This window comes from Homo sapiens, chromosome 7, assembly GCF_000001405.40.
Source record: "Homo sapiens chromosome 7, GRCh38.p14 Primary Assembly".
NCBI classification, from domain to species: domain Eukaryota; kingdom Metazoa; phylum Chordata; class Mammalia; order Primates; family Hominidae; genus Homo; species Homo sapiens.
This window is the reverse complement of record NC_000007.14, coordinates 126558928-126578696: the sequence shown is the minus strand read 5'-3', so window position 1 is coordinate 126578696 and position 19769 is coordinate 126558928. Positions and strand designations below refer to the sequence as shown.

The 19769-nt window shown below is 37.1% G+C and overlaps 1 protein-coding gene across 24 annotated transcripts in view, besides 1 other annotated feature; it reads left to right on the top strand.

Moving 5' to 3' along the window:
- GRM8 (glutamate metabotropic receptor 8) overlaps positions 1–19769 on the top strand; it is an 814344-nt gene that overhangs the window by 674245 nt on the left and 120330 nt on the right. The window lies entirely within an intron of this gene.
- Positions 3352–4551: an enhancer, noted in NCBI's record as "P300/CBP strongly-dependent group 1 enhancer chr7:126214200-126215399 (GRCh37/hg19 assembly coordinates)". NCBI's record gives its function as "activates an origin of replication core promoter dependent on BRD2, BRD4, P300/CBP, MED14 and CDK7 cofactors, with strong dependence on P300/CBP, by STARR-seq in HCT116 cells {active_cell/tissue: HCT116}" and the evidence as "EXISTENCE:reporter gene assay evidence [ECO:0000049][PMID:35650434]".

Genomic DNA, 19769 nt, shown 5'->3' with positions numbered 1-19769 from the left:
TTTAAAGCACATAAAAGATAGCTGCTTTTTGTAACTGGAGCCCCTCATCCTTCTAGAGTACACCTCTGCAGCATGACAGCCATCTGCTGCTGCTCCCTTAGTGGCTGCCCCTAAACTGCCCAGACTCTCTAAATGTTGAGTGGAAGAAGAGAAAGGAACAGCTGTTCGGGAGCTTTGTGGCTGCCTCTGCCCTCCTCACCACCTGGCAAATGCACAGCTCAGCTCATGGAGCTAGCAGACACACTAAGTCAAACTGTATTCTTCTCCACACCACTTGCTCCTTCCTCACATAAACTACTAATCTCCTTTCTGCCATCTTTTATCCTTCTCTTTTCTGTTATTTCCATTCGATCTTTAGGATGCTAAGTGGAAATGGGATAGGGAGACTGAACAGCTGTATCCAGAGAGGACAAATTGTATCCTGTTTTCCATCTTACTATTTTTATTACTTTAACCAAAAATTCTTTAAAAAACCTACATGTCAGAAATATATGTAAATACATAATTTCATAGAGTTTCCAATCAACCCATTATGATGGGTATTGCTTTTTATATGTAACAGGAAAAATATGGATATAAGACTAGTAAGAGTTTCTCACTTTAGTCTTCTCTTTAAAAAGAAACATCTTTGCTGCCCATAATCAGACTGATGAATGAGAGGGAGAGTCAGGAATCATTGAAATCAGTTTGATTGATTTACACTAAAAACATAAGAGAAGGAAATGAATAGATTAGGAGATGAAAAGGAGGGAATAGAGAAAGAAGCATGGGTTGGGTTTGGTGGGAGATTTTAAGAGTTATGAAAGAAGAAAGAGAGTCTTTGGGGCAGCTGCAAAATGAGAAAGATACACATTAAAAGAGGCGAGGAGAGAGAGAGAAAAAAAATGCTTTGAATTGAGAGGCCTTCCACGGAGAAAGCATGCTCAAGAGGGTACAAAAAGGCTTTTAAGAAATTGCATTGGGTTACATAGAGATTTATCTTTTGGCATTGCTGAGAAATTTCAATTAATACTTAAGTTGCTTTCGAATTAGTTTTTGATGTTTAGACATTATGTTATAGTTCCATGAGGCAGCTGAGTTTTCTGTGGTTACAGTACTGGAATGTAAAATGTCACATCTACTTTTTTTTTTTGGAGTAAATCATCATCTAGGACATATATTAGAGTAGAACTTCATAGTGTTTTACACTTTGGAAATTTCACAGAAATTTGTATTTCGTTGTCCTTGAAATATTATACTAAAGTTAGAGGGAAATTTTGTTACTACTCTGAGATTAAGAGTAGCCCTTTGGGGTGATAATCTACTATTTGGTATTGGATTACTAAATGGATTATTTTTAAAGTTAGTGTTAAATGATTACACTAAATCAAGACTTCTAGGAAGTTCCTTTAGGTAACTGCAGATTGGAAATTGGCTTTTCAACTTTATCTCCCAAGATGTCAGCTATGTTAAGAAACGAGATACCATTCAGGATGGAGGAAGGAGATGTGGCACCCATGCCTAGATTGGGTGATAACCTAAACCTCTGCTCTCCTGACTGTGGTTTTATCCTATGGTTAGACTTAGAAACCACCAGTACTCCTAAGAATTTAAGGAATTGATGGCCAAGTTTGGAAAAATAGGACTGTGAGTTATGGATAAAATTTCCCACTGAAACAGGACAGCTACGATAAGCTTTGGAGCCATTGGGTTGGTAGTGAAATGAATGATTACATGGTTTGGCTTTAGGATGTTTTCCTGGAGTCAAAAGCTTGCACAACCTGTGCTTTTGAAGAAGACAAGAAGACCACCTCACTGACCTAGAAAGGATACAACAGAGTCAATGGGGGCTGTAAGTGTAAGTCTGGTTTATAATTAGACTTTGATAGTGAAGAGAGAAATACCCACCTTTGCAGTCAGACTGGAGCTCATTGACATTTTGAGGAATAAAACTCAGGAGCTCAGGATCCTCACTGACATTTTAAGGAATAGAAAATGAAAATACCAAAAAGGTGGGAAGAGAGAAAAAGAGATGAGAGTCAGTCAGTGTGGGCTGATAGAGGATTTCTGTAGAGGTTTAACAGAAGAAAGAGATTTAAGGATAGTTGCAAGTATTAGAGATATTAAAAGCTGGGGGCCGGGTGTGGTGGTTTATGCCTCTAATCCAAGCACTTTGGGAGGCCGAGATGGATGAATCGCTTCACCTCAGGAGTTTGAGATCAGACTGGGCAACATGGTGAAACCCTGTCTCTACAAAAAATACAAAAATTATCTGGGCATGGTGGCTTGTGCATGTAGTTCCAGTTACTTGGGGGACTGAGGTGGGAGGATCACTTGAGGCCAGGAGGTGGAGGTTGCAGTGGGTGGAGATCACATCGCTGCACTCCAACCTGGGTGACAGAGTGAGACCCTGCCTCAAAAAACAAAACAAAAAACCAAAACAGAACAATACAAAAAGTTGGGGAAAATGACTTTTTGTTTGCTCTGTGCTGTGAATTGAGTCTTCTTTTGCCATTTGTGAGTGACATCAAGAAATATTTTAATCACTTCTCAAAATGTTGGTGAGAATTTAGTTTTTAAATATTACATAATGCTGGGCCCTGTCTACATGGGGCATTGACTTTGCAGATGTTAAACATATTTACAGATGAGGAAACCAAAGCTCAGAGACTAGAAAGGGCTTACTCATGACTCTCCAGCTATAGCATTTGACCAATACTAAAGCTGTTTGCATTACACAGTGGTTGCCTCCATCAGCCTCCATCATGTTTCTTGTTAGTAACCATTCTGGGAGAAGAGTGGATGAGAGCTAATAATTGGGTGATGAGAGAAATATATTTGGGTTCAAGACCAAAAATTGCACTTGGAAGTTAAGTTCTCAAAATAAGAGAGACACAAATATAAGAAAGAAAGCAAAACTCATTATACTGCCTTAGGAAATACAATTTTTTTTTAGGGGTTGGCATCTCACAAATGCGAGAGTATCACAGGCTTACAATTTCAAAAAACAGTGTGTATGTAAACAAGGATAATGTTTCTGAGTTCCACATTGACATCTGATTATTCAATTATGTTGGTTTGGTTAAATTTTTTTTCTTACCTTAAGTTCAAAGATACAACTCATGAGTCAAGTAGCAGATTTTATTTTATTCCCTATAGCAGCGGTCCCCAACATTTTTGGGACCAGGGACTGGTTTCATAGAAGACAGTTTTTCCATGGACTTGGGGTGAGAGGGATGGTTTCAGGATGATTTAAGTGCATTACATTTATTATGTGCTTTATTTCTATTATTATTATAATACATTGTAATATATAATGAAATAATTATACAACTCACCATAATGTAGAATCAGTGGGAGCCCTGAGCTTATTTTCCTGCAACTACAGAGTTCCATCTGGGGGTGATGGGAGACAGTGACATATCATCAGGCATTAGATTCTCATAACAAGTATGCATCCTAGATCCCTTGCATGCTCAGTTCACAATAGGGCTCACACTCCTATGAGAATCTGATGCCTGTGCCGATCTGACAGGAGGCAGAACTCAGGCAGTAATGCTTGTGCTGCTCACCTCCTGCTACGCAGCCCAGTTCCTAACAGGCCACAAACCGGTACCAGTCTATGGCCTGGGGGCTGGGAACCCCTGCCCTAGAGGATCTGTTGTCTACCCTTATAGTATATGGTTGCTCAAAGTTAACTGAGGGAAAAGGAATCACCAGAGAATTCGAGCCAGTTCTGAGACAGAGCTTGGAATTCAATAGGGCTGACAGAAGACTGTGAGTCATGTTATACTACCCTTGCCTAATAGAGTCAGTATTCATCAGGGAACCTCTTCACAGGAAGTGCTGAGTCCACACCTTAACAGTCAGGTCGATCAATGGTATCAGATAGTAGATGTAGTCTTGGGGCCAGTCTGCAAAACAGTCTAAAAAAAATTAAAAGGAGCCTGTTTCTAAAAAAAATAGTACAGTGTATTCTGTGAGTGTCTAATTAAAAAGAAAATGAAAAAGAAGTGGAATGTTAGTTGCCTTGGGGGATTTCAGATCACAAAGCACTCAAAGACTTAACTCTGTAGAAAAAAAGCAAAGTGAAGAGAGAGTTGGAAAACACATCTGAAGATTCAGGTAGTAAGATTTCAAACCTCAGTCCTGAAGATGTAGCTTCATCACTGACCGTATAATAGGTGGGAAAATCCCTAACTCCTTAGAGATGACACATCCAGCATTGGAATGTGTTATGATGAATACATGGTTTTCCAAATTCATCACATTCTTTTTTAATATCCCTTTAGTCTCTGTTTACAGACTTACTGGACTGCTTGCCAAGCCTGCAGTCAGTCATGCTGGAACTCTCTAAGGTTATCTAAGAGCTGTATTATATTCCAGCCAAAATCAGTGGAGTTGCTTATCTCCCACATTGATGAGGAGTTCAATGTTCTGCCAGTAACTATAGTAATGGTTTTGATGTAATGGTATATTTATTAAACCAATAGCTATGGTTCAGTGTTGGAACATTGAACAAGCCTCATTGGCTGAAGCCAGAAATGTGCATTTCTTCTCCAGGGTAGGTGGGTGATGGTAACAGTGTCATTTAAAATGGTGTTTTAAGTTTTACTTCTTAATTTCTTTTGAAGTTTTTATTTTAGAAGATTGCTTTAAGTCAAAAGCAAGAATATCTGATTTCACTTCTCCAGACCTTTGGACCTCCTTAGAGAGGCAACCTTTTTGAATTGTTTGCAGTATTTTTGTTAATAACTACAAGTATTATACCTCAACTTCTTCATCTATTAGGTTATTTTCTGAGAATGTGATAAGAAAGGTTGGAATTTGAGGATGGGCATGGTGGCTCATGCCTGTAATCCCAGCACTTTGGGAAGCCAAGGTGGATGGATCACCTGACTCTCAGGAGTTTGAGACCAGCCTGAGCAACATGGTGAAACCCTGTCTCTACTAAAAATTCAAAAATTAGCCAGGCATGGTGGCACACTCCCTGTAGTCCAAGCTACTTGAGAGGCTGAGGAAGGAGAATCACTTGAACCCGGGAGGCGGACGTTGCAATGAGCCGAGATAATGCCACTGAATTCTAGTCTCAGTGATAGAGTGAGACTCTGTCTCAAAAAAAAAAAATTAAAAAATAAATAAAATGAAATAAAGGTAAGAATTTGTTTACTTTTGCTGTCTTTTATACCCTCTTCCCTCCCCAAAGCTTGCTTTGTATATTTTTGAGATTCTGATTTTTCTTCTAGTAAATTTTGTGGCCCCAGAAAAGTATACTTAATCCTCTATTTTTGGTTACAGCTTTTTGACATATATCTTGACTCCCTGTTTCATTAAAAAATGCTAAAATATATATACTTTGCTCTACTATTTCTTCTCACATATACAACTTATTTTTTGTTTGTTTGTTTTGAGCCACACTTTTACATCATCCCATTGTGAACACTGGCATTCTATCCTGTGAGAATAATAAAATTTTCTTTTTCTTTGTTCCTGGGTTGACTCTAATAGGAGAAAACAAACATTTACATTATGATGACTGTGTAAACATTATTTAAGTTCTGGACTAAGATTCCATTTCCCACTTCAAAATATCTGACACCATAAACCTGGGGCCATTTAAAAGAGGATGTTGCTGGCATCAAGGTCACCTGAATTGTCTTCTCTTATATTCAGTCTATCGCTTAACGTTCTAATGCATTTTTACTTGCTTTATATTTAGATTTAAAAAATTTTAATGTTGTTTCCAATCATCATTCTTTTAGTTTTTCTTGCACCGTTTGTGGTTATGCATTCTCTCTGTGTCTTTCTCTGTCTTCATTATCTTTGTGGGTCTTCATTCAACCCCCTTAGGATGTCACTTCTGTACCTCTGTGTCTCCTTGTTTTCAGCTTTGCTGGTTGCTTTTTAGTTTACCATGAAACTACCCTCTTTCTCTCCTTTCTCTACCATTCTGGGATGGAATATCATTTCATGGATTCCAGGTTTTCCTCCTTCTTAGTTTACTTCTGCATGTTTGGAGTGCATCCTAAAAGAAATTCCCAGGATAGGTGCAAAGGAAGGAAGTTACCTCAGAAAATGTCTTATAGATAGCTTTATTCTGGCTTACATTTCAATTGATAGTTTTGTTGGATTTGGAAACAATAATAGAAAATTTTCCATCAGAACTTTAAAGGTATTACTTTGTTATTTTTAGTACCTAGTATTGTCAATAATAAGTCAAATACCTTTGTAGGAAACTAGGGGTAACTTGGCATCCTCCAGCATTCCCTGTGCAGAGCAGCCATCGGATGTTGTCATGTAGACATTCATGTCTATCTATCAGCATTGGAATATTTCTTTGTATTATTTTATAGATATTATACCATACAAATCTTCTCTGGTCTTTATTTTTTGGAATTCTCTTAACCAAATAATACTCTGTGGGATGATCCTTTATCTTGCTAACACTGTCTCTCATATTTATCTTTTTGCTTTATGCATTCTACATGTTCTCAATTTTATCCTTTATGTTTGTATGTATGGTTGTATTTTCCTCTCTAGTCTCTATATTACTTATAACTTTTAAAAGTTCATTTTCCTTCTTTGGAATAATTCAGTGTCTTCCAAGACCAGAGAGTTTCGTTTTATCTTCTGTCCTCTCCTGCTATGTGGTGGTACATGGTTTAAGACATTCCTGGGGCCAGGTGTGGTGGCTTATGCCTGTAATCCCAGCACTTTGGGAGGTCGAGGCAGGAGGATCACGAGGTCAGGAGTTCGAGACCAGCCTGGCCCAACATGGTGAAACCCCATCTGTACTAAAGATAGAAAAAATTAACCAGGCATGGTGGCATGCATCTGTAATCCCAGCTACTCGGGAGGCTGAGGCAGGAGTATCACTTTTACCCAGGAGGCAGAGGTTGCAGTGAGCCGAGATCATGCCATTGCATTCCAGCCTGGGTGACAGGGTGAGACTCCATCTCAAAAAAAAAAAAAAAATCCTGTATATTTGGAATTGGTCTCCTCTGCTGCTATGAAAAACGATTGACTTGTTTTTGCCCTAGATTTCTGATCTGAAGGGGAAGGCAGCCCAGGGATTCAGACTCTATGCAGATCAAAGGAGAGTGGGAAATACTTGTTGGCAGGCAAAGAGGATATTTGTTCCTATGGGAAGGGCCAGCACACACACTAGAAATCTTACTATTCCCAGAATTTTGTTCATTTTCTTAAAGAAGAGCCCTCTGGTTTCTTGCCCAGGGGTAAATGCCAGTTGAGTGGGATGGGTCTCCCATCCTTGTCCTGTATATAGATCATCAATGGCTCTGTAGTTAGACTCTTTATTTTCAGTACAGTATTTAATCTCATTTAAATCTCATAAAATCTAAATTACTTCCTATCTCTGTGTGCTGTGTCTCCATGGGGTTCCCTTTGGGAAAATAGATTGTAATTGAAGCTGTCTTGCAGTATATTTCAGTTTGTGAATTTTCTACTTATTTTTATCTATCAACCTATGGACTTCTACTTTATATTTCTGATATTTATTAAAAATTTCTTGTATTAGTAATGATTTCCTTTACATTTTGTATAATTACATGATCTCTAATGACTTTATTCTCTCTTGCATACTTAGACTGAGAAGGGCTCTGGAGCGATGAACAGCAAGTCATGAGCCAGGTCCTAGGCCAGCTGTGTCAGTGTGGTTTGAAAGTGACCTCATGCAATGTTGCCTCATTTATGAAGAGGGTAGTTGCCTGTTGGTTATGCAGACAATTAGATTTAGAAAAAAAGTGACAAACATCACAGAAATGGTATTTGAATATCATCACAACTCATTCTGCTGACATTCTGAATATATGTTCTGAAAAGCCAAGGTTTGGGGATCTCAACTTTTTGGGGTATTTATGAAAGAAGATGTGAATCAACTAGACACCTATTTTCAGAAAGAGTCTTGGATTGTGTTGTTGCTCTTTCCCAAGTCTGGTTTTCCTGAGCTGGAGTAGCCAGGGGAAGTGTCATGGTAATTCCTATGGGTAGGGGTAATGGGGGGAATGCCAGAGAATGCTCCTGAAATTTTTAGTAGTTTTATAATTTAGTGTCAGTGGCATACAGGTAAAGGAAGATGTTTTTCAATAAGTCTTCAACCTTCCAATAAATGGGTGATGGGACTAGTGCAAAATTATTCATTGTTACCACTTATAAAAACTTCTTTAGAGACTTCTTGTCAGTGGGTGGATTGCTGTCTAGGAGTACAGGAGATATTTTGAATTTCTAATGTCTAGTTTATTTTATATTCATACAATGAAGTAGGCTATTGCAGCTGGAGTGGCTTAATGCTTTGAGCCCTAAAGTTATAATTTAAGAAGTATCCTACCTGACAGATGTCTAGGACCCATATCCCACTTCATGCTCACTTATGCAAGGATTTTTCATCCAACACTGTTCTACACTGTCTCCCAGTGGGGAAGTACAGGTGAACTGAAATTACAAATGAAATTACAGAAGGCCAGAACATATGAATATGTAATATAGAGAGTGGGCATAGGGCAAAGTATTGATTGAAAATAAACAAGATGAGAAGGAAGTAGCTAGGGAAAAGAAAAAGGCAATAGACAACAAAAGAAAATATCAAGTTAGTTTAAGAATCAAGGAAATTAGAAAACTTGATGTAATCTGGAGCCAGGGAAGAGTTACAGTGAAAATCAGAATGTTCTGGTCATGAAATCCATGTGGATAAATAATAGACTCAATTCAGGTGACTATGGAGAAAGAAAATTACATCTTATGGGGATAAGTTGTTCTTCAAGCCCTCGTTGATAACTCCAAGCATTTTTAAGGACTGGAATTTAAAAAGGATGATGTCTAAGAATGATATTGTTTAGATGTGAAAAACTGGCAGACCTAGGATTGACTTAGGTGCCTGTAATTTGCCTTTCTGTATTCAGCTTAGAGTTCTAACACCTTGCAGCTGATAATAGAGTAGATTTTCTTTCTAAATGGATGAGACTGCATTTTTGGATAATTTATATTGCTGGCAGGATGTGGGAAAAGACACGCTTTACCACACATTACTGAGAGAAACCACTTGGCCCCTTCTATTGTCACAGCAAAACTGATGAACAGTTCCTACAGAACGCTTCCTCCCTGAGTTCTCCATGTGGTTTCATTCCAATTTTAGTGACTCTGTGCTAACACTGCTAGAGAATTACTGGTGTGTCAGTATTTGACTGGCAGCTCTGATGTGGACACAAAGTGTCGTTTTCTTCCTGTAGTAGAATATAATTAAAAATAAAATTCACTTTCAGCATTTTTGTTTCTTTTTGAAGAAGTTCAGTATGTCTTGGGGGAACAAACATGTGGATACATGGAGCCTGTCATGGTCATTAAATACCCAGGTTGGAAAGTACCTCTGTGCAAACAATAGTTATGTGGCACTTTTGCCAGCTTCATTTTAAGGAACAAATTAGAGAAACATTGGCTTGTGACTACATTATGTAAAATACAAAACAAAACTAGAGTAAGAAACTACCCAGTCTTTAGATGGCCCACTGATTTGAGAGGAGAAACAAAATTTTTCTTGTTAGATAGTTGTGGATCTTTTGTGTGTTCATTGGAGCAGCTAAACTTTGGGGCATAAATGGAAAGAAAACAATTTGAAGAAGTATAATAGAGTGGAATTTTGAAAAGTCTTCAGAGTATGGGGCTGAATCACTGCTGTTTAGCAGGTGATTGACAAAGGCATTGTTCTTCTCTGGTTTATTTATTCAGGATTATGTATCCTGATTGTTTTTTCTTTTTGATTTTCCTTGCAGTAGTATCAACCTTGATAGTGATTTTATAGTTGCTCAGTACGTTTCATCTTGGCTAGATCCCAAATCCCTTTGAAATGATTTCCAACTTATTAAAGAGCTACAAACAATTGTCACAATGCTGAAGTCACCAAATAGGCTCTAGCAGCACCCTTTGTTTTGATTTAATTTTAAGATTATCAAAATCTTATGGAAGAATCATTCCCTTTATTTTGTAGCTTGATCAATATTTTTAAACTTTAATGTGGTCATTTATAATGAAAATGAAGGACAACATAAATTTTTGTAGTACTTTTTATCAGTTTAATGATCTGCATATAAATTTAGGAATAATCATTTACTTCAAAGTCAGTCATTTAAAAAATCTTCTCAACTCCCAATTATATGAAGTTTAAATAATAGTCTGCAGAGGTGAGAGACAGAGGGAGAGAGAGGGAGGAGCTCTGCAGTTTTCTTGGAGAAATGTAACCTAGAAACCCAGATGTTTTGTATGCTAATCAGGTAACCCTAAATAACTTAGTTTTAAAGACTTACATCAGTTCCGAATTACCTGTGTTAATAGAGTTTTAAAATATGAAAGTAATGGCTTATGTGGAAATATTTTAGTTTTGGAATATATATTTTTCTTTCTGTTAACGTAACTATGGATATGTTTGATATCTTGAATGTTCACTTTAAACAGAATATTGAATTCATGTTGGGAAGGTCTAAGTAAAGAGGAGGCACATACACACTCCTGAAGCTTCCTTCCTTCTTTGCCTCATTATCTCTGTTCTGTTTTTCTTTCCAACTTTGAGCCCCTCACTAAAACTAATATAAAACAGTAGGCAAATGTCTTTTCTTTTTATAATTTTAACTAGTTTACCAAATAATTTTAATTTGTTGGAGATATAAACAAGATATTATTTCTTCCTTTTCTGTCCTGTAGAAGAGTTGAGTGCAGATTCCATAGCTTTCTGATAATTTTTGGCTATTAAAATTAATTCACCATCATTTAGGACAGCAATCCTCATATCCTCTCTGAAGCTTACCCCTTACATCCTCCACTGTAAACTAGAGATGTTATTTTGTCCAATCAAAGTATGAATGAGGACTCATGGGCAAGGATGATGGTGGGTCCAGGGTTGATAGTCTCTTTCTGGATATAACATCTTATTTTTGTCTCTTTATAGCTGGGTGGGAGCAATGAGGATTTATACATGAGACCAAGTTCTTACCTAACCGGAGGCTTATCAGTAATGGGGAAATATCTTTTTATTTTATTTTATTTTTTGCACCAGAGAGCTAATTTATTTACCACTAAAAGCATACACAATTAAAAAACTGTTGTATTATAATTAAAAACACTTAACATGAAATCTACCCTCTTAACAAATTTTTTATTATTTAAGTTTTAGGGTACATGTGCACAACGTGCAGGTTTGTTACATATGTATGCATGTGCCATGTTTGTGTGCTGCACCCATTAACTTATCATTTACATTAGGTATATCTCCTAATGCTATCCCTCCCCCCTCCCCCTACCCCACAACAGTCCCCGGTGTGTGATGTTCCCCTTCCTGTGTCCATGTGTTCTCATTGTTCAATTCCCACCTATGAGTGAGAAAATGCGGTGTTTGGTTTTTTTGTCCTTGTGATAGTTTGCTGAGAATGATGGTTTCCAGCTTCATCTATGTCCCTACAAAGGACATGAACTCATCATTTTTTATCCCCTTAACAAATTTTTAAGTGCACAATACATTATTGTTGACTATAGCTACAATGTTGTCCAGTAGGTCTCTAGAGCTTATTCATCTTGCTCAATTGAAACTTTAAAATGTTGATGAGTAATTTCTCATTTATTCCTGCCCCCATTCCCTGGCAACATCCATCCCACTCTCATTCTATGAATTTGATTATTATATGATTCGACTCATATAAGTGGTAACCACCATTCTAAACTTAACTTCTATGAGACCAACTTCTTTAGATTCCACATAGGAGTGAGATCATGCAGTATTTGTCTTTCTGTTACTGGCTTATTTCCTTTAGCTAATATCCTTAAGGTTTGTTTATGTTGTCACATATTGCGGAATTTCCTCTTTAAAAAAGATAAATAATATTTCATGGTATTTATGCATCTCATTTTCTTTTCCGTTCATCTGCCAATAAACATTTAGATTGTTTCCACATCTTGACTCTTGTGAACAGTACTGTGGTGAAGATAGGAATACTAATATCTCTTTGAGACCCTGATTTCAATTCTTTTGGATAAATACTCAGAAGGGAGACTGCTGGGTCATGGGGTAGTTCTATTTTTACCTTTTGAGGAACCTCCATGCTGTATTCCATAGCGACTACACCATTCCTCATTTCCACCAACAGTGTGCAAGGGTTCCAGTTTCTCCATATGCTTGCCAACATTGGTTGTTTTTTTGATAATAGTCATTCTGACAGGTGTGAGGTGATACCTCATTGTGATTTTGATTTGCATTTTCCTGATTATGCAAATCATCAGGAAATAATGTTGAGCATTTGTTCTCATAGCTATTGTCCATTTGTAGATCTTCTTTGGATAAATGTGTATTCAACTATTCTGCCTATATTTTAAGTTGGGTTAGTTTTTTTGCTATTGAGTTGTAGAAGTTTCTTACCAATTTTGAAAACTAACTCATTCTCAGATATATCACTTTCAAGTATGTTTTCTGATTTCATAGATTGTCATTTTACTGCTTTCTTTGCTCTGCAGAAGATTTTTGGTTGATGTAGTGCCTCTTGTTTATTTTTGTTTTCTTCGCCAATGCTTTGGATGTCAAATTCATCAAATCATTGCCTAGATGAATGTCATGGAGATTTTCTCCTATTTTTTTCTAGCAATATTATAATTTCAGGTCTTACATTTAGTTCTTTAATCCATTTTGACTTGATTTTTGCATATGGCAATAATAAAAGTGCCAGTTTTATTCCTGTGCATGTGGATATCTAGTTTTCCCAACACTATTTGTTGAAAAGACTGTCCTTTCCCCATTGTATATTCTTGGCATCCTCACTGAAGATCATTTGACCAAATATTCACAGATTTATTTCTGGGGTCTCTATTCTGTTCTATTGGCTTATATGTCTGTATTTATACCAGTACCTTATCATTTTGATTTTTGTAGCTTTGTAATATATTTTGAAATCAGGAAGGGAGATGCCTCCTGCTGTGTTCTTCTTGCTCAAAATTGCTTTGCTATTTGGGTTCTTTTATAGTTTAATATAAATTTTAGGATTTTTTCTACTTCTATGAAATTTCTTTGGGATTTTGATAGGGATTGCATAGAATCTGTAGATCACTTTGAGTAGTCTGGCATTTTCACAATATTAAGCCTTCTAATCCATAAATACAGGATGTCTTTCCATTTGTTTGTGTCTTTAATTTCTTTCATCAATATTCTTTAATTTTCAGTATATAAGTCTTTCATCTCCTTAGGCTTATTTCTAGGTATTTTTATTATTTGTGATGCTATTGTAAGTGAGACTGTTTTCCCAATTTTTTCAGATAGTTTGTCATTAATACATAGCAATACAATTGATTTTTATGTTGATTTTGTATCATTTAACTCTATTGAATTTGTTTGTTCTAACAGTGTTTTGTTTTGTTTTTTTAATAATTGAGTCTTTAGAGTTTTCTATACATAAAATGATGTCATCTGCAAACAGGGACAATTTTGCTTCTTTCCAATTTGGATACCTTTTACTTTCTTTTCTTGTCTAATTGCCCTGGCTGGGACTTCCATTACCACGTTGAATAGAAGTGCTAAGAGTAGGCATCCTTGCCTTTGTCCCGATCTTTCAACTTTTCACCACTGAGTGTGATGTTACCTGTAGGCTTTTCATATGTGGTCTTTATTATGTTGAGGTATTTTCCTTCTAGTCCTAGTTTCTTGTCAGTTTTTATATGGAATTGTGGTTGAATTTCATCAAATGCCTTTCTGCTTCTATTTGGATGATTATGGAATTTTTATCCTTTATTAATGATTAATTGATTTTCATATGTTGCCATCCTTGCAACTCAGGGATAAATCCCAATTGGCCATGGTGTATGATCCTTTTAATGTGCTATTGGATTTGATTTGCTTGTATTTTGTTGAGAATTTTGCTTCTATACTCATCAGGAATATTGGCTTTTAGCTTTCTTTTCCTTTGTTGTATTTGGCTTTGGTATGAGGGTAATGCTGGCCTCAAAAAATTAGTTTGGAAGTGTTCTCTCCTCTTCAGTTTTTTTGGAATAGTTTGAGAAGGGTTGGCATTAAATCTTTAAATATTTGGTGTAATTCAGCAGTTAAGCCATCTGGTCCTGCACTTTTCTTTGTAGGGACATTTTTTATTACTGGTTTAATCTCCACACTAATTAAAGGTATGTTCAGACTTCATATTTCTTAATGATTCAGTCTTGGTAAGTTTTTTCTAGTGTTTTTTTTCCATTTCTTTTAGATTATCTGGTTTATCTGAATATAATTGCTTTTAGCAATCTCTTATAATTTATTTTATTTCATTGGCATCAGTTGCAATGGGGAAATATCTTTGACTTCACTCTGGTTCAGTCTGGTTCCATATGCTGGTAACCATGGCTGACAGGTGGTTTCCAAATCAGTAGTGTGCTTTGCTTCCTTGAGTTGAGTTCAGCTTCAACTAGCATCTTCTTTGATGAGGAGCCCTTCAGAAAACAGCAGGCCTATCATCTCTTGGCCCTTGCTATTGATCAAAACCCCCAATTAAAACACTTTTGCTAGGAAAGATGTCTCATTGCCCAGTGGCTGCTAGAAAAGACTAGGGCACCTGCCCATCATCTGACTTTCATTTCTTTTTCACATGGAGGTGGGACCACCCAAACTGCTAATTTCTCTTCCTCATCTCCAAAGGGTTCTGGTAGCCATCTACTAGACCTAAATATAACCATAACCATCACCCTAACTTTTTGCCTTGGACCTGATGAAACTCTATTATAATTTTTATACCACTGGTTTAGAGTTCTCCAGAAATTCTGCAGCCTTTAGAAATTTCTAGCGATAAGCACTTTCTCTGTTAATGTACACTTTCACACATGTGAGAAATCAATAAATTTCATGCATCAGGAAGTTCTAAAATAAACTATCTTACCATCCTTCTCTGTTGTGGTAGCCCCAAGTATACCTGTAGGTTTTGTTGGTCAGCAAATATCCACCTAGGATATCTTTTTATGCAGCTACCAGCAGTCTCCACAAGTGGTTCAGTTGGAGAACTGTCCTTTTGAGGGAAAGAGCCAAAGCCACTCCCCTAAACATGGCTCTTTCCCAGAGGCTGACAAGCCACAGCTTGATGCCCTTGAGCCCTTCCCTCTCAGTTTTCTCCCTAAAAAATGAGATTTAAGAGGAAGAGTGGATGGGAACTTGCTCAAGTAGGGCTGCCTCTGGCATGTCTTGGTTGGCCTTCAGGATGGCTCTCTGACTCCTCTTAGAATGTAAAGTAAAGGTAGTTTTTGGGAAGCTCTTCCCAGACCTTTCAGCTTTAGGATTTACCTGGATTTCCAGGTAAAGGAAAAATCCTACTCAACATTCTGTTACACTACAATTTCTTAGTATTTGCACTGTTGACATGAGAAATAATGAATATTTTTGATTAAATATGTTTTTTTTTTAAAAAAAAACCACAGGGCAAGTAGAAGTTTTGATATTATAAAAGAGAACTTAAGAAGAATGTTTCAAAATATCAAGAATTTAAAATTACTGTTGATGCCGTAAATCACCGAGGGGTAGAATGTTATGCCTGTGTATTATACAAGGCCAGATGCCTAAGTGCAGTGTAACATGAGGAAGCACACGTAAGTGCTAAGGGGCATGCGATTACTACGTTCATTATAACAGGCTTCTAAGCTTTCAAACATCATATCCACATATTGTACAATGGGCAGTACGGAAACAGCTTGGATACATTTGTTATAATAATTAGTTAACCATATATTTCTTTAGTAAATCTTTGGGTCATCTTTTTGACATTTAGAGCTTGTTTATTTAAAACCTTTGCTTATTTATTTATTTGAGATGGAGTTTTGCTCTTGTTGCCCAGGCTGGAGTGCAGTGGTATGGTCTCGGCTCACCGCAATATCTGCCTCCTGGGTTCAAGCGGTTCTCCTGCCTCAGCCTCCCAAGTAGCTGGGATTACAGGCATATGCCACCACACCGGCTAACTTTTTTGTATGTTTCAGTAGCAACAGGGTTTCTCCATGTTGGTCAGGCTGGTCTCGAACTCCCAACCTCAGGTGATCTGCCCCCTTTGGCCTCCCAAAGTGCTGGGATTACAGGCGTGAGCCACCACGCCGGGCAACCTTCGCTTATTTTTAAAATAAATTGTACCTGAATTTCATGTTTAAATTTAGATTCTTAGATTATATTCCACATTGAAACTTCTTATTTAATTTACATTAACTGAGCATTTCTTCAACAATAAACACTTAGTATTGCATTTCTTTGAACCTCAATATAATAGACATTCCTGATCCCAGGACTCCCTTGTTAATTAAGACTCAAAAACTAACTGGGAAGCCAACCAGCCATTCTGTTACCCATACCAAACAGTTTGAAATAAACTGGGAGTGTACACATTCCTATTATCACAGAAAATTACAAGGTTTTGGTGATGCCTTTGATGCAAGTAAATCTTTTGTGATTTATCTTTATCTAGTGTTTTCCCCAAATACTCCTACATAAAGCTTTGGACAGCAAGACACTTTATCTCTCTCCACTTTAGTTCACTCTTTTTAATGACCCATCCAGCTTAGCAGTTTATGGTTTTATCATGTCTAATTTTTTATATTCACCCTCTGAATTATATTTTCAGATATCAGGGTATAGGGGAATAATGTTTTCTAAGACTGTGTCAATTAGATGTTATTTATTAATCTTAAAAGAAAATGCCCTATATTCACATTCCCATCTTAAAATGAAAGAAATGAATAAATATAATTTTTAAATAAATAAAATGGTTTCCAGTTTCATCCATGTCTCTACAAAGGACATGAACTCATTCTCAGCGAACTATCGCAAGGACAAAAAAACCAAACACCGCATGTTCTCACTCATAGGTGGGAATTGAACAATGAGAACACATGGACACAGGAAGGGGAACATCACACACTGGGGACTGTTGTGGGGTGGGGGGAGGGGGGAGGGATAACATTAGGAGATATACCTAATGCTAAATGACCAGTTAATGGGTGCAGCACACCAACATGGCACATGTATACATATGTAACAAACCTGCACGTTGTGCACATGTACCCTAAAACTTAAAGTATAATAATAATTAAATAAATAAATAATAAAAAAATAAATAAAATAAAAGATAATTCAAGTTTAAATGAGGGAGAATCTATAGCTGCTGCTGTTGATCAGACCATTGTGTTATTGTTTTGGTAATAATATGGTATAGCATCCTGGATTGGTTTTTATTTTACTACCTTTTTTTTTTGAAACAGAGTCTCACTCTGTTGCCCAGGCTGGAGTGTGGTGGCATGATCTTGACTCACTGCAACCTCCGCCCTGGGTTCAAGCAATTCTTCTGCCTCAGCCTCCTAAGTAGCTAGGACCACAGGCACGAGCCACCACGCCCGGCTAATTTTTATATTTTTAGTGGAGATGCGGTTTCACCATATTGGCCAGGCTGGTCTCAAACTCCTGACCTCGTGATCCGCCCACCTTGGCCTCCCAAAGTGCTGGGACTACAGGTGTGAGCCACTGCGCCTGGCCTATTTTACTACTTTCGTAGCTGTTTTTTCTGAGGAAGTACAAGACAAAAGGTGCCAATAATGGCAATTATGGTTAACCTGAGTGAAATAAAGATTTGAGCAGGAATATATATTTCAATGTGTGGACAGCTGATAGGATTAGTAGACCATGTAGTGTGTCTGTCACAAGGAAGTAAAGCTGACTAATCAAGTCTTAGATAAAAGATCTGATTTCTAGTATTGAACGTCAAATGTTTACAATAAGTTCAAATTAAAGAGAGGATTGAAAAAGCTCACATGATTTCATGGGCTGCTATAATAATGAAATTACTTAAAGGATTATCATTTATGTGTATATTTTCTTAGCATTCCTATTTAGCCAACTTGATAAATATGCATTTGATTCATTTCTATTGAATAGCAATACTGTCCTTATCCCATTCCTAAATGTCATCAACTTCAGAATTGTTTAATTATTTCTTGAAATTGGAATGCTAGTACTTCAAAATGATATTTATAGAATTATTGCAGTGCTGCTTTATAGCATTTTGGGTCTTCTTGGAGAAATCTGTTATAGAAAATAATGTATTTATTATATAAGGCCTATTTACCATGCTGTGTTCCTACACAAAAACAGTGAATTTTGATCAGTAAATCTTATCTGTGGTGTTAGTTTCCTTTGGTATTTTGCTGGTTCATTTCATCTCTATGCAGAGATTTTTATTTATTTATTCACTCTTTTATAGATAACAATAGAAGGCTGACTAAAAGCATTCCCCCCTGCTGCTTGAAATCTCAAAATATAAACAAACATCTTTCTAGAATTTCTGATCCAAGAATACAGTAATTTTTATATAATTTTCTCTATTCTTTTCTGAGTTTCCATTACATAAATCAATGTTATTCATAGGTTTTATAAGCCATATGAAATATTAGCAATGAGTTATAATTAGAAATCTTGCTGCTAACCTGACTTCCGGTTAAAAAATCAGTGACTTATATTATCACTGATATAGACTAAAAATTATGTGGATTTGAAAACATCACTGCCCAACATTTTAATATTCTGTCATCTGAAATAGAAAATCGGTCATGCCTTTAAAAAATAAAGCAAAGGCAGCACAGGTTGTAAGTGTTGCTGCTGTTATGTAAGTACAGCTTAGCCTTCTGCTCTACAATGCAGGTTTCTATCTTTAGGTTAGATTTCAAGTGGCGATGCATTTGTCAGTCCAGCTTTCTCAGATCATAAAATGATCATGTCTGTTGACACAATTACTGATGCTGCTATTCAGGACTGGAGAGTGATTGAAGAGAATTTCAAAGAGAAAATATATCCAGTTGCAAATGGAGACATGGGTGAGTTTCAAAGGCAGTAAACTCACTATTCTTACATCGAGCCTACAATTGAAATTTTCAGTTCCAATTTAAAGTAATAGTTTACATTCATACCAGGTGGATTCCTGAAAGTTCCAATTCATACTCAGATTTACAGGTGGAAGGACTTACAGAATCAATTGAGCATTTTTTAGTTCTGATTCTAAACACACTGTCCACCACTTTTTTCCCAGTATAAGTTGTTAAGCCATCTCAAAGGTGTTTTAGAAGGAACTGTTGCACAAGACAATGTGATCTATTCAAGAATTATCCAGCACAACAGTAATTGAGACGAGGTTTGAATCTGTTTGTTAAAGTTGGAGAGCGCTAACAGCTTACCAACTAGTGTCAAAATTACCAGTAGCTGGCTCAGTGTGGTGGCGTATGCCTGTAATCCCAGCACTTTGAGAGGCCGAGGTGGGTGGATCACTTGAGGTCAGTAGTTTGAGACCAGTCGGAGTAACATGATGAAACCCTGTCTCTACTAAAAATGCAAAAATTGGCCTGGTGTGGTGGTACATGCCTGTAATCCCAGCTCCTAGATTACAGGCTGGGATGAGAATGAGGCTGAGGCATGAGAATCACTTGAACCCAGGAGGCGGAGGTTGCAGTGAGCCGAGATCGCACCACTGCACTCCAGCCTGGGCCGTAGAGCAAAGGTCTGCCTTAAAAAAAAAAAAAAAAAAAAGCAAAAGATTACCAGTAGCTGACACTTCCTTCAAGATCAGTATCAAACTTGTTCTGACTTTCCAGCCATCTGGAGCCCATTTCCCTATGCACATTACTCACACCACTTATAAGCCATGATTTGCTCTGGAAAAACACATGTGAGGGTGCTTTGCATCAGTACCCGTCTCTCTCTTCACTAATTGTAGCTGCTATTGCTCCACCTAGCTTGATTCTTGAATTCC